The 27,485-nt window shown below is 39.9% G+C and overlaps 1 protein-coding gene across 54 annotated transcripts in view; it reads right to left on the bottom strand.

Moving 5' to 3' along the window:
* SNCAIP (synuclein alpha interacting protein) overlaps positions 1-27,485 on the bottom strand; it is a 152,867-nt gene that overhangs the window by 51,433 nt on the left and 73,949 nt on the right. For 30 of the 54 annotated variants that reach the window (NR_131762.1, XM_006714734.3, XM_047417925.1 and 27 more), the window contains 2 exons: positions 21,596-21,698; positions 8,922-8,994 (listed from right to left, as the gene is read on the bottom strand). Coding sequence is in view for 49 of the 54 variants with exons in the window: in XM_006714734.3 (XP_006714797.1) it covers positions 8,922-8,994; positions 21,596-21,652 (130 nt within the window). In the remaining 5 variants the exon portion in view is untranslated. Of the gene's footprint in view, positions 1-8,921; positions 8,995-11,660; positions 11,802-21,595; positions 21,699-22,916; positions 24,221-27,485 lie in introns of those variants that run through there. The other 24 variants (XR_001742366.2, XR_001742364.2, XR_001742365.3 and 21 more) reach the window with 4 other exon arrangements.

Here is a 27,485-nt window from a genome sequence, read left to right as displayed (position 1 = left end):
CACGTCAGGCAGGGGAATTCAAGAATTTCTCTTTAGAATTCCATGAGACATCTAATGTAGACATTGAGTGGGCCATTAAATAGGAGGCTGGAGTATGGCGGGGATTCACAGCAGCATGTAGATGGTGTTTGAAGCTGTAAGCATGTATGAGAGACCAACTGAGAGGCTGAGAGGGCAGAGGGAGGGTCCTATTAAATATTTAGTTCCATTTGACTATTGAAAGGTCAAATTGGGAAGGAGGAGGAGTTGCAAAGGAAGACTAAGAGGATGTCAGAGTGTTAGGAGAAAAATGAGGAGAGAGGTGGTCTCACAAAGCCAAGAGAGGTGACCGTTTCCAGAAAGGAGGGGACTATTGTCTCAACTAATGCTGACAGGTCAAGAAAGATGAGAATAGCAAAGTGTCAGTGCATTTGACAGCATGGAAGCCGTGACCTTCCCTAGAGAGATGGAAATCATACTAGGGATGTTTAAGGTAAATAGGAAGTTGGGGACAGAGGAGGGAGTTTCCCATGACTTTTTAAAGCAGCTTGGCTCTAAATGGAGGGTTGGCAAGGAGGAGCAGAGAAACAGGATGGGAGATTCTAGAGGTGGTTTGTTTGTTTTTTAAGATGGAGGTGATCACCTAAGGAGGTGATCTTGAAGGTGGAGGGAGAAAAGGAATAATATCCCATGTGAAGGAACACTGCACATTTGAAGAACTGAAGGAGGCTCCTTGACGTGACTGGCAGGCAGGAGGCGTGCGAGGAAGCCTGCTGGTCCAAGAGAAGATCACTCTGGCCTTGAAGGCCACATGAGAGAGTTTCCCACTGCATATCTTGAGAACCATCCTGGGAAACCATTGCCTGGTTTTGAGCAGGGAGTGGCATGATAAGACTTGCATTTTTGAAAAGATCACTGTGCCTCACTAAAAACAATGGGCTGGTATCTAGGTGGCCCAGGTCAGTGCTTCTCAAACTTGAATGTGCATAAACGAATACCCTGGGGATTGAGCTTGTTAAAACGCAGATTTTGATTGTGAGAGTCTGCATTTCTCACAACCTCCTGGGTGATGCTGACGCTTACGGTGCTGGGGTGAGTCCTGGATCATACGGTGAGATGCAAGGGCCATTTGAAAAGCAAATGCCACAGAAGGGTCAGGACTTATGCAAGAGGACCCTTCAACTATGAGATTCTAGGATTTTGTTTCTATTACTTGTGTTTACTTTATGACTTTTTTTTTTGAGGGAAGAGTCAGAGCAAAGGAGATATGTGGATAAAAAGGGGTGATCTGAAATGGGAAGATAGAGCCCATTTAATATTGAGAGACAAAAGCAAAAGGGTATGCTTTCAGGAAGAACTGGGGTGCTGTCAGAGATGCTATAACAGAAGCTCCTAAACTAGAAATGTCCCTCAACACACACTCATACTTTTGCCTTTAAAAAGTATGGGAAGATGGGATGGGGGAAACTGCTATTCCTGTGACAGGATGGGGACTTGTGAGAAGGAAGTCACGGCAAAGCCAGACAAAGTCAAAGGGACTTGGCCGTGTATCCATTTGTCCTTGTCCCTATGTTTCAGTTCTTTCCCTCCCTGCCTAAAGGATGTCCCTCTCTGGACTTCCCATTTTTCATCCTTTTTTACTGCAGATTTCCTTTAACTCATTTCTACCAACAGGCGGTTTCTTTACTTACCAGTTTGGGGAGTGGAAGATATGTTTCTTTGAGTCCAGTAAAAATAAACCAAAACACAGGAGAGAAGACTGTGAGTTTTTACCCGTAAGTTTTCTTTCCCTCAAATACTGTCTTGTTCCTTTCTTAATTCCACTGCTGTGAACCTTGTAGAAAATCAGTTTGCTGTGCCACTTAACATTTATGGTTAAGCAAAGAAATGTTCCAGTCAAGAGAAAAAGGGGCAAAGATGCGATGTGTTTAAGCTCTGCTACCTTCAGCCCTTTTAATTATTTTCTTTTTTTGTTTGTTTGTTTTTTGAGACGGAATCTCGCTGTCACCCAGGCTGGAGTGCAGTGGCACGATCTTGGCTTACCGCAACTTCCGCCTCCCAGGCTCAAGCAATTTTCCTGCCTCAGCCTCCTGAGTACCGGGGATTACAGAGGTGTGCCACTACCACCAGCCAATTTTTGTGTTTTTAGTGGAGACAGGGTTTCACCATGTTGGCCAGGCTGGTCTTGAACTTCTGAACTCAAATGATCCACCTGCCTCGGTCTCCCAAAGTGCCGGGATTACAGGTGTGATCCACCATACCCAGCCCCTTTTATTATTTTCAATACCACCAGAATTTTATTTTAACTTTTCTCTCACCTCCTGCCCCCATCTTTATGAACATTGACCTACATCTTTCCTCTCAGAAACATAAATGAAGTGTTAATAAGTTAAAAGGGGTTAAAGGTAGAGATGATCTCTCCTTTTCCACAGAGGGGGCAGCTCGGCTTTCATGGGTAAGTTCTGTGGTCCATCCAAAATGACAGCTATGCACATTCTGGAGCAACAGAAAAAGCAGCAAAAATTGTCCTCATATTGTGATTACAACCATACGTACAAATATGCCTCGGGGAAAAAATACTCAAAAGAAGTGCAGTAATTTTGTTTTGGTGGCAAGGTTAAGTTCTTTAAAAATAATGGATCATATCACCTTTATAATTATATTTTGTTAAACAATAAAAATAATTGTTTTATTTGATAAACAATCTCATCTAGATGTCTTATCTGTAAATTTTTACTCTAGTTAAAGAAACATTTCTTTGTCATAAATGCTAGGTTTCTTGCTGCATCAGGTTGAAGTGTTCATTTTCTTGATTGAGATCTTAGAAAATGTGTTTCCCTGCTCTTTAGAGTCCAGTTTACATTACATCCTGTGAAATGGATTAATCAGCAAGCTTTTCAATTCAAACTGCCATACCAACCTTCACTTTCAAGCTTTTAGCATTAAACCTTAACAAATATTGAAAACAGGAGGTTTATATATTTAGCATCACCAACTATGTCATAACAGCATCTACAGGACAAATTTCATGTCAACTTATTTTAGGTGCTGGCTTAAATCCCTTTAATCTTAGAACATCACATATTTTATCTTTGTAGGTTTAGGGTTTGTCACAAAATTTGCATGCACAGGGTTCAAAAATATAGCGAATTTGCAATGCTTTTAAATGTACAACCTACATGACTTTAATGCCAGACACCAAGTTTAAAAAGTACTGTTTCCTTACTCATTGTCATACAAGTAACACTTTATATTATTTAGGTATAAAATTTTTTTCAGAATCCATTCTCAGACACATTACAGGGTCATTTATTACTTTTACATAACTGAACTTTCTAAATCCAGCACATCTAAATTTTCAGATGTGAAGCAGTATTAATATTTATCTGCCTTCTTTCATAAGAAAATTATACAATGAGTTTAGCAGATACAGATGTTGAAAGAATCACATTTAAAGCAGCATGAATTGAGACAAATGTGTATTTGAATGCCCAATTAATTTTTAAAAACTCTAAATCAATGAAACTGAATATGTTTTGATTTGAACACCATATGTCACCATAATGTATTTTTTGTCCTCATTTGGAGAAAACCATAGAGAAGAATTAACATTCACTGCCTTGTGGTGTCCTCTTTTCCCACATGAGTAGTAGATATTAAGCAGAGAATGCGTGCAAAAGTTCCACAAATAACTTCCTTTTTTAGGTGCATTTTTTTTTTTACACATAACTTCCTTTCTGCTAATCCTTGTCCCAAACTAGTTGCTACACATGGTTCTCTGGAATAAATTATTCCTCAATTGAGTCAGCTTACCCACAGGGGGTCTGGAGACTGTAGAGCAAGTTTCACATCCACTTGTTAGCTCTAGAACTTTGTGCACATTATTTACCCTCTGTGAGCCTCAGTTTCCTCATCAATAAAATAGGCACAGTAATGCTTCTCCCTCTGATAATTATTTTGAGGATAAATATGCTGCTTACAGAGGCCTGGCACAATGCCTGGTACACTGCTGGCTTATGAAACAACTCAGAAACCTCAATAGCACCTGTGCATCTCCATGCACAGGCAGTTCATTCTCAGGCTTCCCACTCCTAGTTTTTTGCTTCCTTCCCACCTTGTGGCATCTCCAATTCCCTTGCACTTCCTTTCTTTCTAGACCACTTTTCTCACAAAAATTTGAAACAGTCCTACTGCAGTGTAATTGATGGAGAATAGTTTAAAATATTATTCCTGTTAGGGGAAAACATAGACTTCAATAGGAATCAAAGCTTCTAGCTAAAGAAAGGGCACTCCTAAGGAGGATTTGTGGGCATTGGTGAGCCAGTGGAAGGTGCAAGGAGATGACTTCCAGGCCTCTGACAACATTGCCATTTTCCATTCTTGGAGCCCACCACTAAAGCCGCAGGGATGAAGTGAGGTGAGCCCTAGGCTGCGTGTCTCACAGAGGGGCTTCCAAGGGCCACAAACACGGCTTGTTTTACACTCTAGCTCCTCTGAGGACACTCAGGAAGCAGGCAGAATGGACGGCCCTACTTGGGAAAGCAGAAAAGATATGTGGGAAACCCAGGGGACTGTTCTGTGGGGCTGACAGGTTTCCGAGCAGACCACATGTGGAGGAACCTCTGGTTTGGTTCTGGGCACTCCACTTTAAGAGGGATGCTGGTAACTGTACTGTATCCACAGGAGAGTGAAAAGAATGAGCAGCACACACTCAGCACTGAGGAAGGAAATGTTCATCTGGAGAAGACAGGCCCAAGAGTGACTGCTGTCTCCACACACCTAGTGGCACTCTTGGCCAGGAGGGACTGTCCTTTTCTGTGGTTCCAAAGGAAGAACCAGGATCAATGAGTGGAAATTCAACGAACACTGACTTTGGTCAGGTAAAGCATTAACCTTTATGGATGTGCTGCCTTGTGAGATTGTGCTCTCCCTGTTGCTAAATTGATGAAGTACAGGCTACATGACCCTGTGGTTGGGATAAGGAGGATTACCTTCAAAGATCTGATTGGCTTTGGACTATTTTTTTTCTTTTTTGCCTTTTAGAAAACTTTTTATTTGTGTGTAACTCTTATATTTTTCACTTTTAAATAAATGTATACAATAGTTGCAAAAATGAAAACAGTACAAAAAATAGCTGTAGACCTTTTATCCACATTCATCAGTTGTCAGCATTTTACCCATTTGCTTTATTATTTGTACTTTCTCACTTGCTCTTTCTTGCAGACTAGATGATTTTGAAAGTCCTTTCTCTTAGTGAGAGTTATGATTCTACATGCTGAGGCTTCTTTCCAGGTCATAAGATTTTAGAAAAATTGGAATCCTGCTGGCATTGCTCTTCACTGCACTAAGCATAAAATCTGAACTCCCCAAGGAGTCTGACCCTGATCATCTCTCTGCCTTCATCTCCTACTGCTCCTCATTCTGATCACCATGCTGCAGCTACACTGGTTTTTTCTTCCTCATACTTGCTAAGCTCATTCCTGGCTTAGGCACTTTGCAATTACTAGTTCCTCTGCCTTCAACACTCTTTGCTGGTTTTCTCGTGGCTGGAGCCTTCTAATATTCCCTGATGCCCTAAGACCTCCCTCCCTCCCCAGCTCCTAAAAATTACCACAGTCTCTCATGTTGCCTCTTCTCTCTATCTGTGGTGACCTTGTTTATCTGTTTGCTTGCCTTTTGGCTGTCACTGCCAGTAGAATGTAAGCTTCATGAGCACAGAGGCCTTGTCTGTCTTGTTCTTTACCATGTCCTCAGTACCTGGGCCAGAGGACACTCAACACATATTTGTTGAATAAATAAATAAGAGAGTAAATGAGAACATCTGGTCAAAGATATAATATGTACAAGGATAGATGTTAACATTTGACAACCTATACAAAATAGCAAGTGTGTAACTATTCTAGAAAGGTAAAGAGAAATGTCTTTGTCTCGTGGGGTATCATATTAGTCTATTCTTGCACTGCTATAAAGAAATACCCGAGATTGGGTAATTTATAAAGAAAGGAGGTTTAATTGGCTCATGATTCTGCAGGCTGTACAGGAAGCATAGCGGCTTCTGCTTCTGCGACAGCCTCAGGAAGCTTCCAATTATGGCAGACGGCAAAGGGGGAATGAGGCATCTCACATGGTGGGTGCAGAAGCAAGAGACAGAGTAGGAGAGGTATTACAAACTTTTAAACCAGATCTCATGAGAACTCACTCACCATCACAAGGATGGTACCAAGGAGATGGCGCTAAACCATTCATGAGAAATCCACCCTCATGATCCAGTCACCTCCCACCAGGCACCGCCTCCAACATTAGGGTTTACCATTCAACATGAGGTTTGGATGGGAACAGAGATCCAAACCATATCAGGTATACTGTAAGTGACAGACGGTTGAGGAAGTTTCCCCTGAGAGTGCCCCATCCCAAAGAAGATGTGGACTTTTCTCAGAAGCCAAAGTGCATTCTGCTGCGTCTGTTTGAAAAGATAGAAATCTGCTAGCTTTCCTGGAGCAAACTCCTTCTATGTGGCTGATTTACAAGAAAGACAGGGGGAGGAGGGTTATTTCTACATCTGGATGCCTATGGAACTGATTGAGAATGCCTCAATTCTTTAGGAAACCAGCTCCGAAAACTTCATCACGTTGAGATTTCTTTCAGAGGGGCCCATGGATAATTCTACAGTGATGCTGTGGGCAGACACATTTTTCCGTGGGTTCCTTTTTCTAGGATCACTCTCAATCTATCAGAATGCAGTTTCCCAGCCTCCAAATGGTCCATCAAATTGGAAATGTACATGCAATTCCATTAAGAGTCCTGAGTCTTTCCCTCATAATCCATTTCCTGTCAGGTCTGATTACTGATTACCTTGAGCACTGCGCCTTTGCTGTGAGTAAAGTTCAAAAGCTTCTAAGTTTGAAACTGGCCTCCTCCTCAACCACGGAAGAAAAGTCTACCATCATTTATTGTGGAGATGACTAGAAATTGTAAGACCTGGAGAGAATGGAATGTACCAGCCCTGGGAAAAACTAAAAGTTTCTGTTTATTCACTTAACTTGGTAAGAGTCACCATTTAACGGAAAAAATAATTTAAACTTAATCAGGGAAAATGCTGACTTGTAAAGATTTAAAAGGATAATATCTTAAAAGTAAATTATTACCAGTAAGTCAAACTATCTGGAAGGGTAGTATATGTAAGGGATAATATAACAGAATCTGGAAGTAGACTTCCTGGGGTTTGAATCCCAGCTCTGTAACTTAATTGCTGTGTGACTCTGGGTAAGATATTTAACTTCTCATCTCTGTTCCTCAGTTTCCCCATCTATAATATAAATATCCTAATAGTACTTAGCTCACAAGTATTTTAGGATTAATGGGATTAATGTAAGTAGAGTGCTTACAACAGTACCCAGCACATTAAGCCCTGATAAAGTATTTGCTATTTTTTCTTCTCTCTTATTCCCTACATCCAATTAAAGAAAAAAGAAAATCTTGTGTCTGCAAAGTAACCTTTTGATACATCACCTAATTTTGATCCTAAGGACAGCTGGGCAACATTAGTACACGTATCTTCTCTATTTTGTAGATAACTAGTCACAGATTCAAGGTCATTTAGCTGATAAGTGCCTGAACTCTAACTCAAACCTAGGCCTGGTGACTCTGACCTTGGCAGCCTCTCCACTGCAGTCAGCTACCTGTGTCATTGATCATAGTCATTGGTTCAAGTTTGAAATGGGCACTGCCTTTTAAGAAGACACATCCTTATAAGACTTATAGCCAAGAGCCTCTATTAAATCCTATATGAACTTGAATGTTTTTGAAATAAAAAACAAGTGAAGGTAAGTAAAAGCTTTTATTTGAACTGAAAACTATCTTCTGTGATGTTTCTGACCCAAACATTGAAGCATTACTTTCACTCACACACACAAAAAAACACCAAGATAAACAAACCTAGAAAGACTAATTATTTTTCCTGTCTCTCCTAAGAAAAATGTCAAAGGAAAACAAACAGTCCAGAGGAAAAGTAAATTAGCTTTGTAAAAAATCCTTTCCATTAGAAAGGCCTAGAATTCTAGTAGCTGTATAGGTAAGGCACATCTATTTATTTTTAAACACAATACACATAATTTGAGGATTATCTGGTTCTCAGGATTCTAGTGACTATCAGAGTAGGTCCAGCTTTGGGAAGGTTAATGGTGATGCCATAGAGTAATTACTTGGAAAAATAATAAACATCATTTCATAGTTTAATACCATGGTATCACTCCCATCAATATCCTTTTTTATTTTCATTTTTGCCCATCATAGAAGGAAAAGAAGAGAAGCTTAATTTGATTTACAGAGGGAAAACAACTCAGAATGTACTTTTTTATTCTTGGGGGTTGGGGGTGTAAAGAGAAAAGGTCGACCAGCTGGTTTTCATCTATATGCCATAATTCTCTGTTTAGTTTACACTATTAAACTCCAAAGCCTTTGCTTTAATCTTAACTGTTACAGTATGCCTTATTGCAGATTCTATCATGTCGCATCTCTGATAGGGTTTCCGACTTTGGCAAAGCACCATTCCCCAAGCTGGTCCTTGCCATATGGGTAGTAAATGCATCCAACATTTTTTCATTGGCGCCTGCATCATTATGTTTTGTCACCAATGGTTTCTCGGGTTTTCAGTAAATTGCTGCATATATTGTGGTTTGGAGATGCCGAGATGATCTCCCATATTTATTTATCTGTATACAGCTGAGTCCTCATTAGGGCCTCCCTGTCCTGCTATCCTCTTTCAGATGACCTAACATCTGTTTGTTGAAGGCAGGGCATGAGGTGGGGGGTGGTGTGAGTGGAGAAGCCGTAAAGAGAAAAGAAAACTGAAAGCAGGGGGGACCAGTGTGAGGAAAAACAGCTTTCCAGGAGCCATTAACACTGAGCCAGGATAAGGAGAAGAGGGGAGGAGCAAAACCTACCTGATCTGTCTTCGTTTTGCGTATCACATCTTCGGCACAGTTCTGGGATCGTCTTGAGTGATGTGACTGAATACTGAACGGGAAGCCAGAGAAGAGAGGGCATAAAATAATTTAAAATGCGAGCATTCACTCAGATTGGCCAGAAAAACAAAACACAATAAGTGATACTTGGGCACAACATGTATATTCAGAAAATTTATCTCATTTTACCCTAAATGGGCTGCGTGGTGACCTGGCAGCATCCTAAGATCTACCTGCAGCATCTAACCACATGCAGTTTAAAAAGAGGGCTGGGCACTCCTTCTTTAACAAAAAAAGGTGGGGTGTAGCCAGCAGACACTCTCTCCCTCTTATCACTTCTGCCACTTGTGGAAGATGGAAGAACTGTCTGACCCTGAGAGTTTCAAGAAGATGGCCTTAATAATTGCATTCTGAATCCTAAGGGTGAGCTTGTGTACGAAAAGCCAAGTACGGGAGCACCTGGCTTCCTGCAGCATCCGGGGCAGTCAGGAGACATGTCTGTGCCGATGCTGACTGGACTAGGCAAAAGTTCCTAATGTTGCCACTTGCCACAGATTTTACTGTGTAGCATCCATTATCTCCATGGGAAATACCAGGGTAATGTCATAAAAAGCAAGAGGGGTGTGGTTCTGTGTTTGAAAGCTCATCTCTTTCACATATAGATTAGTTTGAGTGGAAAGAAACCACCCTCCAGGCTCAGTTTCAGCACCGACTCAGAGGCTGGCTTTCAGGATAAATTATGATACAAGGGGGCATACAATTGGAAGAGCTAAAACAAATGTAAAATCAATAGCTATGATTTATGAGGACAACATGTGATGCCAATCAGTCTTTCTTTAGAGGAGGGTGTTTTAAAATAAAATAAATAAAATGAAATTGTTCTTTAATCAAAGGCCAAGTCAGGGACTATCTTCAATCACATTCATACTTTAATTCATAAAATGCAGCTCCCTGAAACTATTTTGCTTTTTACCTCTAAGGACAATGTTCTTAAAGTAAATGAGCTTGTATCATAAATTACTTCACCATTGCAAAATTTGGGGGGATTGAGAAAAAGCATTTAATCTAAAAGAAAAATGATCACAGGAAACTCATTAGGATTACTCTAGCATTACAAGTGAAGAATGTGTAATTAGGACACATTTATCAGTAAGAAGGTACTTTAGTTAGCTTGACGTCAATACATGAAGCAAAGCGTCTGCATTGAGACTTCCTTGTGCTTTCCCCAGGATACCAGGACAGCAAGACATAGGGTGGGAACGTAGATATTGTCAGTTTGCCAACCGCATGTCACAAACAAATTAAATTTCCAGTATTTCCAAGTGAAAAGTGAAATCTCAAATGACTAATTAGGGAAATTACCCTTACCTGTCTGATGCAATAACATCCTGTTTATATTGGCCATGCCTCTGAGACTACAGGTGCTTTAGCAAACCCACCCACATGCTCAGAGGGAGGGATGACTACCTCTTAAACCCAAAATTAACCTGTAAGTATTTTTTTCCTTTCACATTATGTTCTTTGGGGGTCTGGGGTAGCACAGGTACACAAGGCATTTTTCTTGGTACTAATAAGGTACCTTATGTTTCTGGCCAAGTACAAGCTCTCTAAGGACTCTGGTAGCTTCTTGAGACCAGCTGGTACAAGTTAGATAATTACACAGTCTATAATTCAATTAAAATTGGGCCTTTTGTTTTGGTTGCCATGTGTCCCATGAAACACCCTTTGGCAAAGTCTCACTCTTTTTTTTTTTCTTTTCATCCAAGGCAAGAGTTTAGAAAGAGGAAATTTAAGATGAATTGTGTTTAAATACAGTTAATGAAAAATTCACTAAGGTTTGTTCACTGGGCTTAATGATATATATCTGATTAAAATGGGTGAGCTGCTATCTGTATTTCGAGGCACATGCTTCCTAACTGCCATCTCCCACCCCAAAGTCAGACATATCAGAATCTCTGATGTATTCGCTGTAGCTTCAACTTTTCCTATTTGGCCTCAAAGGCCCATAGTGTATAGTAAGTTTTAATTTGACGAGGTTTACATTTGAGCAGCACCTGGCTGGTGTGGGAACTGAGTTACAGGCGGACACTAGCCTAGGTGAGTCACTGCCACTGCCTCAACCTAAATCACTTGTGGCACTTTGCCTCTCTACCCAGAGTCACATAGGAAGTCACTTTGGTGAAGGCATATATTTTCATTCTCTGGTAACAATAACTGTGAAGAAAATATCATTTGCTACTCCTGGGAATAGAAATAAAAAGTATAGCAATCTAAAAAAGATGACAGTTTATCCAGAAAAATTAAAGTTTTGGAAAATTTTAAGGGTATATGAACATCAAATTCAGCAATGACTCTAATCTACATTGTGAACAAGTCCATCATTTTTTATAAAGACACAAGATAAAATCAATTTGTGGATCTGTTTCAGTAAGTATAAACATTGCTCCTTGGATGGAAGAAAAGGCTTAAGGGAGTGTTGTGAAGATTGTTAAGCTGTGATGTGAAGAAATGCACAGGGAACACATAACTCACAAAACCAACATCTAAAAATGTTTTCATATTTGCAAATTTGGGAATGAGCAAATGATCCAAGAAGTCTCCCTTACAAGTATGCATTGTGCTACCATCTGGGAGCTGAAATGGAAGGCTTCCCAGGCCTTCATCCCAGTTCACAGGACAGATGGCCTTTTATAAGTAACTGTCAGTTCGCCAACATACCTCATTCTCAGGACAATGGCAAGCTCCCAGGGCAGCAACTACTGTCAGTTTGGCCCTATGGGAACCAAAGCCCATTGCATCTTCCCTGTCTGTGTCCTCCAATCCAAGCTTTTGTAGCCTGTTCCCTTGACTCCTATTGTCCTTGGGTGAGAAGAGTGAAGAGGGGGCTTGCAGTTAATGAAGAAGCATTACATTTTCTATCTCTATAATTTATTCTTTTTCTAGAAGTCTTCCAGAGGTTATTCCCAGTGAACATAGACTTTTGATCTAAATTTGTTTTCCAGACTTCTTTTCCACTTCTCTACCATGTCTGAAGAAGAGCTCTGCCAAAGGTTGACCAGCTGCCTCAGCTTCTTCACCGTCCCTGTGCTTCCAAAATTTTGTTTACTTTCTGTTCCTTTACTTGGGGGTCCCCCATTCATGCAATGCCCTCCTCTAGCCAGGCAAATGCCACCATTTCACAAGGCAAGGCCAGCTGTGTTCTGCTTCTCCATGAAGCCCTGGCTGATTGCTTTAGCCCTTACTGACTTTTCTCTTTTCTCCCCTTGGTAAGTTTCTGCATTGTCATGTGCTGTGGTGTTTCTTATCTGTAGGTGTTGGCTTCCATAAGCACTTGAGGGAAAGAATGATATTTTTGACTTGTATATGTGCATGGCACACAGGGACTGATTAACTGTTTAACTGAAATAACAAGACGTGTACATATTGACTAATCCCTGGGCATAATATTATAGACATTCAAAGGAGCTCTTTCATGTTTAAGTAGTAAGTGGGACCTTCCTCCAGGCCTTTATACTAACACTAGAATTAATTAGCTTTCTGAAATAAAAATTTGACTAAGACTCTGCACAGCCTATAGGACAAAGACCATATGCCTTAGCATGGCACATGAAGCCTTCCATGAGCTCAGCCTCATCTCGCATTGTCTACTTCTCTTCTGATTGTGGCAATAACAAATTCTCGGTGGTTGCCATACCCATTGTTTTGCCTGTCTATACCTTTACATATGCTACTCCATCTACCTGAAATGCCATTCTGCCCATTACACTAGGCAAACTCCTTTTAATTCTTCCAGCTTTGCCTGGGTATCACTTCTACAAAATCTTTTCTGACCCCTGCCCCATAAGGAAGTAAAGCCAGCTTTCAAAGTGTGGTCTCTGGACCAGTGGTATCAACACAACCTAGGATTTGTTAGAAATTCATATTCTTGGGCTTCATCCCAGACCTACTGAATCAGGAACTCTGAGGGTGGGGCCCAGCGATCTGTTTTTTCACAAGCCATATGGGTGATTATAACGCACGATGAAGTTGTAGAATCATTGTCCTATATTATTTCCTGATGTTAGGCATATGTCCATTACAGAACTCATCATAGGATGGTTCATCTATATATTTACCTAAATGCTTTCTCTGCTTCCTGAAAGTGTGGACAATATTTTATTTACCCAAGATACTAGGCACTTATTAAACCAAATTAAATAAATTCCTCTAGACATAAGAACTAATGAGGCAGGGATATAGCTCAGTCCATAATTTTGGTGGCAGTAATAATAATAATGTCAGTAGTTAATATTTACATAGCACTAATCTTAGAAAAACCCATAATTACAAGTCTAGCAATAAATCATTTTATATTTAAAAATTCTTAATATATTAATAGCATGAGTAATGGCTGATGGCTTAAACTTTTGTATAAAGGACAATGGATTTGGAGCCATAAGATCTGGATTGAAGTCCTGGTTCTGGCACTTATTAACTCTGTGGTTCTGGACAAATAATTCATTTAATATCTCTGGGGCTCAGTTTCCTTATGTGTGGAAGACAGATAATTATATGAGATAACATAGATGCAGTCATTTTGCAAACTGTAAAGCTCTAGTAAATGTCTGTCTCTTCTCTTTATCCTGTTTTCTAAGTGTGCCCTCAGAGCTTCCCTCCTCATCTTCATTTCCGCCATGACTTTAAGCTCAGCAGATGAAGACATGAGAACTAATGAGGCGGGAAGAGAGGGGTCGAGCTGGGAATAGAAAGGAAAGGAAATATAACTTAGCCTATCTCAGTACATTATTTGGCTTTTCTTTGTTCTTTCCTCACTGAAGAGAGTCTGTGGCCCAGGGATGACACTGAAAAGTCAGCTTCAAAAACTTCACAGAGTTGATATGGCACAAGATGATTCTATACATCCCAGCCTACGCCAGTCAGTTTTGTCACCATGCCATGCAAAACAGTTGGAACATGCATGAGATTCATAATGACAGTGCGTGATTTCTACGTTGGGCTACGGGGATCTCTGACCACCCCAGATATTGTTCAGTGCTGAAAAGCTTTGGCTTTTATTCCTGAAAACTGGAGCCGACTAAGCGAATGAGCAGACATTACTCAAATGGTAATGAGCCACAGAAAATGAAAGAACGAACATCCCAAGCACCTTTGCAAGCTAGAGACTTTCAAACTACTAAGGCCCCATAAAAGTTTCCAAAAGAAACAATTAAGCCAGCCATCCAAACAACCATGGTGAAATTCATGATTTCTCGCACAGTTTTCCAAAATTCAGGCAGGTATCTCAACAGGCACACAATAAAAACAATGGCAATAATGTGTACAAACAAAGCTGGGAGTGACAGCAGAGACATGTAGCTGAAATGAAATTTTCAGAACATAATATTTTTCTAAAATTTTAGCCTCCCCTCTAAAGGCCTGCCCTTCCAGTTCAGGAAGACTTCATGCCCTCCATTATAAACTGTGTTCCATTGTCCCTTCCCTTGGGACATGGCACTAACAGTCTGCTCCTCCACTGCTAACCCTTTGCTGGGGCTCAGGTTTCCTCTTTTCTCATCTCCTAAGGACTCTTGCCTGCCACCATTCTTTCCTCTCTCCTTATCCTCAGCCCACTCTCAGCGTTGGCTTTCTCCTCTGGTCTTATAAAGATAAGCAAGCACCACTACCACCTCAAGACACTGCCTCCTTGACTGAGCATGGGCCTTCCTGCTCTTGCATTCATCAGCCGTCTCTTTTGAAAGAATTGTCTCTGTGTTTCTATTTCCTCATCTCTGCATTTACTCCTCCAGCCCTCACAATAGGATTCTGCCCACCACTCAATAGATACTGTGCTTACTAGGGCCACCAAGGGGGTCTTAACTGGAAAATCCAGACGGCATTTTTCAACTCTCGTCTTTATAATGACCTATTTGCCACCATCAACTGTTGTTTAAAATTCCTTAAATTCACCCCCCTTGTCTTTTTAGTTCCCTTAGTTTTATTTAACTTTGAAAACTTCTTTCCAGTTTCTTTTGTAGAAATGCCTTTGTCCAGACCCCACCACATGGAATATACTTCTGCACAGTTCAATCTTTTGAATATTCTTCTCTTTCCACATTCCATGTTTTCACAGATGACCTTAACTATACCCCCAATTTCAACCACCACCTCTACATAGTACAGATACTGGTGATCCACACTTTCATACCTCTATTAGACTCTGCTTTAAATACATTTCTTCCCACCATTTGGGCTCCATTAATGAAAATTATTATAACTAATCCTATTTTCAAATAAATTTGAATTTTGCTCTGGTACCTTATTTTTATCATATCTTCATTCTAAGAAGTTTTTTTTAAATTCTTTTATGCTAAGACATTGTTTGTGGTTGGTATTTGAGAAAACTCAGTAACTCTTTTGATCATTTTAAGAGTGCATCAGGAACTACTCTATTGCAATGTTAATTTAATTAATATAATGTGTAGTCAGGCAAGAGATGAAGATCCACTTAGTAAATGTGGTAAGATCACAGTATTGAATGATCTCCTTATATTGTATAATAAGAAGTGGACATGGATGGAGAAGAGACCTACCTGAACTGGGAAAACCAGAGGTGACCATGGGGCCCAGCAGATGTAATTTTCAACGCAGTGGTTACAAATATGGATTCTAGAGTCAGACTACCTGCATTATATCCTGACTTCACCATTTTCTAGCTAATTAATCTTAGTTAACCTTTGTATATCAGTCTCTTCACTGGTAAAAAACAAGGTTCTGACTGTACCTTCATTAAGGTGTGTCCGGGAAGATTATGAACTAGTAATATAAAACCTGGGAAGAGTGTCTGATGCACAGTTAAGTGTTCAATAAATGTTAGCAATCATATTATTATTTATATTTAAAAGTACCAAAACCAGCATTTTAAAATGAAGCCAAAGTAATCATAATTATACAAGCAAAAATTACAAATGACAAAAGAATTACAAGAAAAAAGTATGTTATAGTAGGGCAGATGGCCAGTCATAAACCTTGTTCAACTTCAATGATAGTCTATTTTTAATTGTGAGCCAATAATCAATCACTGTCAAAATACAAGGACTCACTGCCAAGAATGGAGTTTAGTACTATAATCAAATGTGACCTACCATGAAGTTAACCTGACTTCATAATGTGCTTAGTTATTAATATAGCATACTATACACACTTTGAGAGCATAGCAAGTCTGTGTCATTCACCCCAAGCTTAGAACCAAGTCTGATACTCTGTTAATGTTTAGTAAATGCTTGTTGACTAGATTGGCATAAAAACTAATTGTGATGAAAAGGTGAACAGTTTTTGTCAATAATCTGCATAGTCAATCTAATAATTTCTATTGACTATCAGGCAAGATAAGAACTTCCAGGACTATCTGCAGAGTAAAAGGGAAAATTTAAAAAAATCCAGCGGTTGCTCATTCTTCTTAGAAACCACTCTATTTGTAGAGTTATTCTCTACCTTCTCTGGCAGAGGTCTCCAGTCCAAGATTTGGAGTTTGGGAACCTAGATTCTAGTCCTGGGGTCTAACACTAACAATAGAATATCAAAATGTAACTCATCTTTTCTGGATTAGATGATTCCTAATTCATTTCCTGGCAGGTATTAAGAAAAACAAGATAACACATATGGCATATGATGTTAGAACAAGGTGTGAGGTTTCTGATGATGCTGAGCTGGAGAAGGGAAGAATGAGAGGCAATTTAGCCTTGAATGCAGGATATTACAAAAAAACACTGCATAAAGCTGAGGTATTCTGGACAGTTGCTGGAACTAGATCACACGGAGAAGCACTAAACAAAGTTTCCATATAGATAAGAACAGGGCGACTGCTAGGAAGGGCAGGGCTTACAGACAGAGACAGTGAAAAAGGGATTGAACCACTCAGAGGCCACATGAAAGTGTTGGTCACCTTCTAGAAGGTACAGAAGAAAGTACAATAGGGTCCATCTTATTCAATATATTCATTGCTAGAGAGAAGGGGAGGCTAGGTTCTTTGTACCTTGAATACCTTTATACTCTTTTTCACATCTAAGCTGTATTCTTTGCCCATGCCAGCTCATTGCCTGAGTCTACTTGAAATGAGTCTTTCTCAAAATGTAACAAAATCTGGGGAAGCATCAGGGGATTGAATGGAGGAAAAGGTGATGCACACAAAACAGAAGGGGGCAGGCATTTTTAGTAAAAATGCTGCACAGTCTGTGTGATAGAAAGACATGAAAACTCACTGAAAGTGAGATTATTTTACCATAAGAATTAATTTTTCTATCAGACAGTGGTTCAAGCACCTTAGGAAAATGAACCCACATAATTTTTTGCCATTACTCTAGGTTGCAAAGGCTTTGACCAAAGAGGATTGAAAAGTGGAAGGATACTTATTATCTTGATCTCATTTGACCTGTACAAAAAATAGTTTATGCAATTGCCAAAAAAGTCAACTTTCATCAAGGTTGCAGTCAGAGTTATACAGAAAGGCAACAGAATATTTCTCTCACTTCTATTTGTATGTGTGTGTATATGTCTGTATGTGTAAATACTTACATGTATATATGTGTATATATGTGGCTGTGTGCATGTGTGAGTGTATGTGTATAAATTTAGGGTAATAGGTTGAGGTGTTACCATTTAACGGATGGGAATGTTGAGGTACAGTAAAATTAAAAGATTTGCTTAAGTTCTCATTAGCTGGTTTCATTTTACTTATTTATAATGTCTATCAATCCCTTTACTTCCAAAAAACAATTTGTAATCACTACAGTGCCAATCAGGGATAGTGATGAGTGAGGTGACTGGTCTAGAGAAACTACTACTCAGCTAAGTTGCATAGATGGGGAGGAGTAAGGTGGCCAAATAGTTCTGCATTTAGGTCCTGGCCCTGTAACCTTGTGAATGTCAGACAAGCTCTCTAAGCCTCAATTTTCTCATCTGCCAAAAGGAATAAAAACAGAGTTTGCCTCGCAAAGCTGATGTATGAGGCTTGAACAAGATAACTTAGTTAAAGAGTTTATCTCAGTGTGCGGCACGGCCAACATTGGTGGATGGTGGCTGTGAGTGAGCTCCTCAGGAGATCCAGAGTTCAGCCTCTGCTTTCTTTAGTCCTGTGTGTGAAACTATTTTTAAGAGCACCACACTGGCCTCTCTTAATAAAATAAATACACCATAGCTCCAAAGAATTCCAGAGGGTTTTTGTTTTTAAGACATAGGGATCTGGCTTCCATAGGAAGAGAGAAATCTGTGAACCCATTCACAGTGACAGAAAAACCCTGCTTTAAACCTTTGTGCTTATGTGTCGTCATCTCTCCCTTGCAGACCTGCAGCTATTGGAGAATGTTCTGCCCTTTTAGATGGCAGGATTACAAGAATGTATAGTTTAAACTTTGTGTTTTGCAAAGGATGTGCGTTATTTTCTAGTCTGGGAAACTTCAAAATAAATTAGCTGCTGTGTTTTCTCTCATTAAGTAAAGGCAAAATAAGTTCTAGTTGTTTTTTCTACCAATATACAGCTTACGTTTTAATTAAAACAAGAACCAGGCTCATGACCAGAGGGAAATACCATGGAATAGAAAGCCTAGACTATGTAATAGGGCTATAGCTAGAGAGTAAGGAGAAGAGTTTGAAACTGGGCATCTTTTTCATAAACATATTTTTCAGGTGTAATGTGCAGTTTCCTCCCCCTCCTGCCACTTAACCAGGAAAGAGGCTTAGGGGCTGTCAGAGATGGAGGTTTCTGGTATCAAAAAAAAAAAAGAAAATTGCATGTTCATGGGAAACTACATTTCTTTTTATGCCAGTGAATTAGCACGTTGAACACATCTTCATTTTTTCATTTTTAGCATTTGAATAATCTCCACTTAGCCCTTAAAGAAGTTGTAATATTCATTGCTCCTAGTTTACCTAAACAGCCTGAGAACAATCATTCCAGTATTTAAGAGGTTGTCTCCAGTTCTTTTTCCATGTAATCATTAAGTTAGAACAATATGATTCTGGCTTCGCTAAGGTATGAAGTCTGGATCACACTAAATTATGATTAAATAATCTATGTTGTAGAGGTTGCCAAAGTAGAGCGTCTTCAGTTGCAAGTGGATTTAAATAGACTAGGATTTCTTATCCTCAGTACTACTGACATTTTGGGCTAGACAATTCTTGTTGTAGGGGATTGTGCTGTGCATTGCAGGATGTTTAGAAGCCTCTCTGGTCTCTACCCACTAGATGCTAGTAGCAACTCCCCGGTATGACAACAAAATATGTCTCCTGGTATTGTTAAATGTTTCTGGGGTAGGGGTGGGGCAGGTAAAATTGCCCCTGATGTGAACCACTGCAATAAACTATATTCATCCCGGAGAAGCAGTAAAGTGTTGTGGCTAAAAGTAAATACTCTGGAGACAGAATACACCTAACCAGCTGGGTGACCCTGGACAAATTACATAAAATCTTCATGCTGCAGTTTCCTCATCTGTAAAATGAAGATAAAAACAGTAACTTTAGAAGATTGCTGTGAGGATTAACCAAGATAATGCCTGTCCCATGGTAAATGTTCAATAAACGTTAGCTATTATTATTATTTCATCAATTACTATGAAATTTCATAGAATTTCAAATCTATGCAATTTCAAAATCTGATATAAGTTTAAATGCAGGTTAAAGGACCAAACAATCGAAACATGTTTAAGAGGGAAATTTTGGGTGCAGTTACACAATTACAGATGGATATCTTTGTTTATGTTTTAGAGTGGTCAAGTTATAGACACTCAACTATTGCATAATCCTGTAGCCTAGTTTGCTAAACGGTTTTAGTTATTGCTTAATGTATTTTATTATCTTTCAAGTGGAGATTCCCAATTCATCAAAATTATGGGCTGCTGCCAGATGATTCTTCTGTAAATACAACTGCTCTGTTGTATTAAAAAAAAATCTTGACTTTATGCCTAGTGTTTTCCCTTGAGTTCTTTCTTCACCATTGGTCATATAAATATTATTGTATAATTCAGTGAAATAATAACAAAAGCTACCATTTTTAAGAGCAACTTACTGTGTGCCAAGCTAAGTGTTTCACATATATTATTATTTTACTCAATCGTCACAACAACCTAAAGTGTATCTCAGAAAGGTGAAGTTAATGTGCTATTCAGCCAGTAAGAGTCAGAACAAGGTAGGAACCCAGGCTGGCTGCTTTCAAAGCCTTTGCTTTTAAAACACAACATCATTATCAAAGTTCGGAGAGCTACCACCTAACTCCCAATCATAACACAGTTTCCCTTTCTACAACACCTTCCATCCTACCTACATACACCCATGCTACCATTCACATTCCTTGCTTTTTCCCACAATGGCTGTGAGGGGAGTGATCATAAAAGAACCTTGCTTTGAATGCTTCCAAGTCAAGCATAGTGACTTAGAGAGAGAAAGAGAAACAGAAAGAGAGAGAGAGAGAGAGAGTGGCAGACAGACAGACAGACACGTAGACAAAAATATATCATGGGAAGGAAGAAGCTCACTCCACATTGGTTTTAATGAGGACTAATAAAAATTGTCTGGAAGCTGAAATAGGCAAATGTTGAATTCACATTTCTCTGGTACAAAAAAAAAAGACTCATCCAAGTTTGTATAAAATAGGTGATTTATCAAACTCATCCCAGTAATCCAATTATTGTGTACAGTATGCATATTTTACTTCAAGGTAAGGAGTAAAGTAGATGAATAAACAACTGCCAGAAGCATGATAAAGTAAGTTCATCATTTTGAGACAATTTTAAAGCAGTGACTTTGAGTGGTGACCCATAGCTCCAGGCCCTGAGAGATCCATGGAAGATAAGGTTAGAAGTTGTGAACTTGAGGGTCCTGGAAAGAAAAGTTGTATGTCTAGCTCAGAAACAGCAACCTTCTCATCACATACTCTGAGAGTTAGCCAGTTTTGCTGGGGCACTCCAGGCCAACATGTTTGCTAGCGTAGCAGAATTGATTATGTGGTCCCGGATAAGGCACAAGCAGCTCAAAGCAAGATGCATGTAGACAATCCATTCCAAGCAGTCCTGATTTAAGCAGCAGGAAGTTTGTGGCTGTTATGGGAATTAAGAGACTCATCAGCCCACAGCATTACAGGATTAAGCAGGACCTCAAAAGTCAGCTAGTCCAGTCCTTATCACTGCACGAATTTTCCTTAATATTCCCAACAAGCTTACAATCTGTGCTTTGATATCTACAGTGATTGGAAAGATTCTTTTTATTGTTCATCAATTAATAAATTCCAACTTGGCTATTCTTTAGTCAGTGTCCCTGTGAACTCTAGAAAATGCTGGCTGTGGAATAGCCAGCCACATAAGAGAATTTGGAATTAACTCTATGAAAGTGGCTGCATTTTGTAAGTATACTCAATCAATAGTTTTGACAACATTGGAACACATTAGGAATGAAAGCCTCATTGAAGTTAAATGACTCATCTTCCAAAACACACACTTAGGGAAGATTCACTTCTTGGTCTAAGAGATCCCCCCAAACCACACCGAGTCTGCCACACAGGATTTCTGCTGTGAATTTCTAAATGTAGTCAGAAAAGTTGAGGATATATAGACTATAATGGAGAAAGTAGGCTATGAAGTTGAAGGCAGATTATCTTGAAAGCATTTCTTGTATACAGTGGTACTTACAGATATGTCATCACTAAAGTCAATTTCATCCAAATCAAGGTATTCAGGGGCTTCCATTATTCTTCCTTGCACATTTTGAGTACGGTCAAATACTTATAAATTCCTGAACGAGACAGAAGCAGAAAAGAAAGGCAAAAAAATTTAGCCGTTTTACAACCAAAAATAATGTCTACATTTAAACAAATAAGATGAGAAGGGTTATTGGGTGCTAGTGTTGCCTTGGAGCACATTTCCTTCCTTCAACTGTCCACAGCCTGGCTTTCCAGAAGCAGCAAACACAGCGTCTCCATGGTCCCCAGTGTGGCTCCCCAGTGGGCACTCAAAGTCCTTTGCTTTATTTGATATGTGCCTGTTTGTCTTTGCCAGAGCAGTAACTTGGGTCAGAATCTCCCCCTAGAATCAATATTAGAATTCACACCAACTCTTACCACAGCCAGGGTAAAAGGCAGGGCTTTGGGAAATGGGGAGCCAGCCTGGAAATCTTAGGAAAGCCATTTTCAAATGTTTCCTGTGGGCATATCCTTGGGTGTTGTACATGGAGCAATGAATACTGCATCTCCACAGGAATAACACAAGACAGATACCACTAACCAAGAGTAATGGATATTTTAGAATTTGTAGCACAACCTCCAGTTCACCCCTCAAAAAGGAAGAAAGAAAGAGGATCTAAGTGCAGATTTAAACCTCAGAGTTATTGCACTGCCCTCTGCCTCAAACAGCTTTGCCTGACTGTGCCATAGTGACCTGATGCAGGCCCCGGAACGTCTTCAGTCAGCTCTTGCCTCAGGGCCGCCTGGGGCAACCCTTTAAATCTATCACAGTAGGATACATCACCTCCCACTTCATTTTCCCATCACTTATCATCATCCCCATCAGCGGCGGCAGAGGCACCTACAGATGTCAAGAGCAGAAATATAGATCTCCTGACAGCGCCTTGGTGTGCAGTTATCTTCTGCAGCGCCAACTCTCAGATAGCAAAATCAGCCTCTGCTTCCTGCAACTTGTCTTTCTTATTGTAAAAATTATCTTAAGTACCCAGATTTGAGTATCTGAAATAATTCATTTTGCCCTCTTTGATTGTCTAATCAAGATGTACCTTGCTGAACAATAAGGAGTGCATTACTGGAAAGTGAAAATACATCTAGCCTGATGAAAATGGGCCTCCCGATAAAAGACTGAAAGTGTAAAAAGACCTACTTTTTAAAAGCAAATTTGTTCTGAAGGCATTTGTTTTCCCTCATGTTGAGCCATTCTTTCTTTTTTAAGCTCTGCAAATGGTATAATTATGATAAACAGAAAAAAAAAACTTGCCATTCCTTACCTCAAACCCATCACTTGATTTAATTTTCCTGTTTCCTCTCCTTTTTTTCCCATATGTATATACCATTTTTAAAGTCTTAATTACAATAGATACAGAGTCCATCCAAGAAAGGATTAGGATGTTACTTCCATGTTTAAATGAGATTATCCATTTAGCAAATGTTAAAAATTCTTCTGAAATCACAGTAAGGCTTACAATGAAAAGAAAACCAACTTGTATTTGTAAAAAATATTTAAAATCAGAAATTTTATTATTTGTAGAAATCTGAAAATAGGTTATCAAACAAATTGCTTGGTATAAAAATGTCACTTTTCTTCAATTTACAAAGATTTTCAGAGGAAAATATATGTACTCTGCTTGGAAATTACTCAAAACAACATTCTCTCCTACTGTGATGGATTCTGATACAATCCAGACTCTTTGGATACTAGCGTGTTCACTAGGAGACTTTCTTCCAATCCAATTTCTTTTCATGAAATCTGTACTCCGTGATGAACTATTGATTTACAGACTCTGTTCCCACGGCCTTGGTGAACAACACACAGATGATGCTGGGTGCCAGGATATGGTATAAACATCAGCAGGAACATGGAAATATGGGGAGATGAAGCAGAGAAACATGCATCGAAGCTGGGGACCAAATGGATCTTTAAATAAATGAAACTATAAAATGTGGATGAACATGTCTTAATTAAGTAAATTAACAAATAACCATTGCACCCCTGTTTGAGGTGCTCCAACAATATAGACAGCAATATCCAGTTGAGTGTAGCCATTCCAATAGAATATAACCAGCGGATAATAACTCATGGCATCACAACAGGAATCTTTCAATTTGCACTTGCAGGATGGTAGTGAGGTTCTTTATTCTATAGGCAAGAACACAAGACTTACAACAGGTGCAGCTCATTATAGGAAGTCTTGGGCCACTGCCCATATTTATTTCTGTGGGTTGGATGGCCCCACCTTAGACTAAGGCTCCTAGGCATCTGGAATTTGCCTCTACTTCCCAGCAGGCCTCCACATGCTATCTCCTTTAAGATGTCTCATTCTGTTCATGATCCAATTTATTTTGTCTGGTTTCAATGCTTGTCTCTTTCAGGGTGCCACTTTAAGAATATTTACATTCTCAATTATAATGTGCAGAAATCCCCGTGGTTTTCCAATCCTGACTACATTCCCCAACATTAACTGCTTCTTTACAGGTAAGAGTGAGTCTGCAGTTGTCCCAGTGGCCAATACAATGCCTCCTCTTCTCTCGTCTGCCCTTCCACCAAGCCTCTGGCACTCTCAGGCACTCTTTTCTAAGGAATCAGTGACAAGATAGGAAGCAATAAGGTCAGGTTAGAGTAGCTGCTGCAAATGATCAAACATGATAAGGACAATGAGGTGAACTGTGGTTGCTTTTCTCATCCTGCTCTTCTGACACCTCCCACTCTGCACACCAATCCACTATGGAAACCAATAAGCCTTCTTTCAGACCCATGGCAAACATGCTGTAACAGAAAGCACAGCTACAGAGGGCATGCATTGGAGGCCTGTGAGCTGAATCTGGCCCACAGATGTGATTTGTTTGACCCCAACAGTGTTAAAGAAAAAAAAAAAATTGAATCAGTTGCCAACTTGCAGACCTTGGGTGATTTCACATAAAATTCTGGATTTCTGGCTTTGTTTTAAATACCTGAAGCTCTGGCAACAGGGGTCTGCAGTCCCCATGGCAACAACTAGCTGGAGCTAAGCCGCAGCTGCTCCTACCTGTCCATGGGGCCTGTGCTCCCCATTTTCCCAGAGCCTCTCCAAGGCTGCTCTACTCACCAACATGCCTTGGGGACATTTGAGTGTTCGACCCTTCAAAGGAATTCAGTATTAAACATAAGTACAACCATTACCCCCAATTTTGTATTGGTGCCTCCTGCCAAAAATGTTGACTTCATTTGTATTCTAAGATTTAATTTGTATTCTAAGATCATTTTAAATTATCATACCACAACAGCAACAAAATACAATTTCCTACAAATAAACTATTGGCACATCACAATTTGTGCTTTCACAGAATGTCCACTTTATCTCTTAGTACTAGGAAAAGAAAACCTTTGCAAACTTAATAAAATGTTACGAAGTGGGGATTATGTTTCCTTCACTTTACAACTGGGGGAAGGAAGGGTTCTTCTTGCTTTGTGTGATTGGTGTGGATTTACATGGTGACACTTCACTGCTGTGACTCCAGGGGAAGGGAGGAAGCCGTGCCAAGTGCAAACCCAGAAAAAGTCCTGAAGCCATCCTCTGTCTGGCCCAAACCAGCAGCTGGGAGGCAAGAGAGCCAACCTACTGAGGCCAACAAGAGTGGGTTTATACCTAAGCAAAATACATTTTTTACGCTTTCCAGAAAGGGCAGGCCAGCTTAAAATCCTTTATGTAGGGTCGGGCATGGTGACTCACACCTGTAATCCCAGCACTTTGGGAGGCCAAGGTGGACGGATCACGAGGTCAGGAGACCATCCTGGCTAACACAATGAAACCCCATCTCTACTAAAAATGCAAAACATTAGCCGGGCGTGGTGGTGGGCGCCTGTAGTCCCAGCTATTCGGGAGGCTGAGGCAGGAGAATCACTTGAACCCGGGAGGTGGAGGTTGCAGTGAGCCGAGATCACACCACTGCACTCCAGTCTGGGTGACAGAACGAGACTCCGTCGCAAAAAACAAACAAACAAACAAACAAAAATCCTTTATATAGGATTTTTATTGCTATGCATCATAGGCCCCTTTTGGATCTCAGGACCTAGTCATTTGTGAATCTGAATTTCTCCCCCATGCCATCAGCCCTGACCCTACAAGCTACAATCACTTGTTCCCAGGTTTTCTAAGGCCTTCCGAGGGCTTTCTTTTGCATGTAAGCCCCTCTCCCCACAGCACACCTTTTTCAAGATTTGTCCACCATGAGTATTGTCCACGGATTGAAATCATCCCATTTCTTTTTACTGGCATTGGCAATTCTTGATTTGTTATTTATTTAGGCAGGTATGTTATGTGTTTTAATTTTTTTTTTTTTTGAAGTGGGGAGAGATGAGATGCCAGGGAGGGTGAGTTGAGAAAGGTAAAGGAAACATTTTTCAATGGTTCAGCTCTCCCAATTTGGGTAGGAAAACTGATAGAGAGGGAAAGAAGAAACAGATTAGAATGTGGGGACACAGGGCTCGGCTGCTGAGAACTATATGCTGTGCAGAAACTGCTAATGACAGCTTGGCTCCCTTCTTTGGATGTGCCCACAGCACTGGGAGAAACCTTACTCAAACTCCAAACTGATGCCCGGCTTTCAGAACAAAACAAACAGCATCAACTACACTCAATGTTTGTAGGACTCTTCCTACTCTCACAGAGTTTTGATAAACTGCCAAGAGCAGAAGTCCCTCCAGTGCCTATTAAAGTGTGTGTGAGGGGCTTATGCCCCTAATGGGTCTATCAACACCATGTCACCTTCTCAAGAGTGACCTCAGTGATGGCCCAACTGCTACCTTCCATAGAAGTTTCCTTTTGGGAGAGAGCTCAAAATAACTGAGAACCACATTGCATAATAAAAAAATAGACAAGCAATTAAAAAAATAGCCTCCTTGCCACCCCCGTATTATGATATTCAGGTGATATTTTTAATTTTTTTGTTGTGACTGGAAAACTGACTTTGAAAATAATTCCAAACGAAGACTTCCAAAAATCTGTTGCATAATGGCAGCATCACTGGAAAAAGCTTATAGTGGCCAACAAAATTTCCTTGAGAAACTACACTCATTTTAGTGTATGCATTCTGGTGTGCTTGGCTCATAAAAGGCACATTGATTTGTGACTACAGTCACATATCACATAAATTGCTCTACTGAAAAATTTTTAAAAATGTATTGCCTCACTCTATTTTACAAGGAGTCAGCTTGGACTCATTCTGAAGGCTCATGTTACACAGATTTCTCCTTTTCTGCCAAAGTCGCTATTGCTCCATTTACCAGTATACTATGAGGCCTGGTAATTAAAAGTAAGTTGGATTTGTCAAAATAAATGAGCAGAGTACATTCGGTGATGAGGTAACTTCAAAGGATTTGCATTACAACTTATTTCTTTACCTTTTAATATACCAGCTCTTAGAAAAACACAGCCGCTCCCTGCACCCCTACACACACACACACACACACACACACACACACACACACATACGTGCGCACACGCATGCCTGCCAAATTTGTACTGGGAAAAATTTTCAATTTGAAAGCCTGAACATCGATATTGGGCTTACTTTCTTCAATATAAAAACTTAAAATGATCACAAAATAAGTACTGGAAGGTCTGGGTAGAAATGTTGTCCCCAGTTGGCTCAGTAGCTTGGCTGGCAAGGAAGCAACTCATTCCAAATGTTGGATTTGGTTTCTTTCACTCTTTGATTCAACAGTGGCCAGAAGCATGGCAGTCAGTAAATGCCTCATCTTGAAGCAGAAAAATGATAGAGGCAAGAAATTTTTACTAGAAAGAGGCAACTGAAGGAGAGCCAAGAAGTACACATGAACAAAGAAAAAGCACAAGCCCTGT

The sequence above is a fragment of the Homo sapiens genome, chromosome 5 (assembly GCF_000001405.40).
Source record: "Homo sapiens chromosome 5, GRCh38.p14 Primary Assembly".
In the NCBI taxonomy this organism is placed as follows: domain Eukaryota; kingdom Metazoa; phylum Chordata; class Mammalia; order Primates; family Hominidae; genus Homo; species Homo sapiens.
The sequence above is the reverse complement of the archived record's forward strand: the minus strand, read 5'-3'. Positions and strand labels throughout refer to the sequence as shown.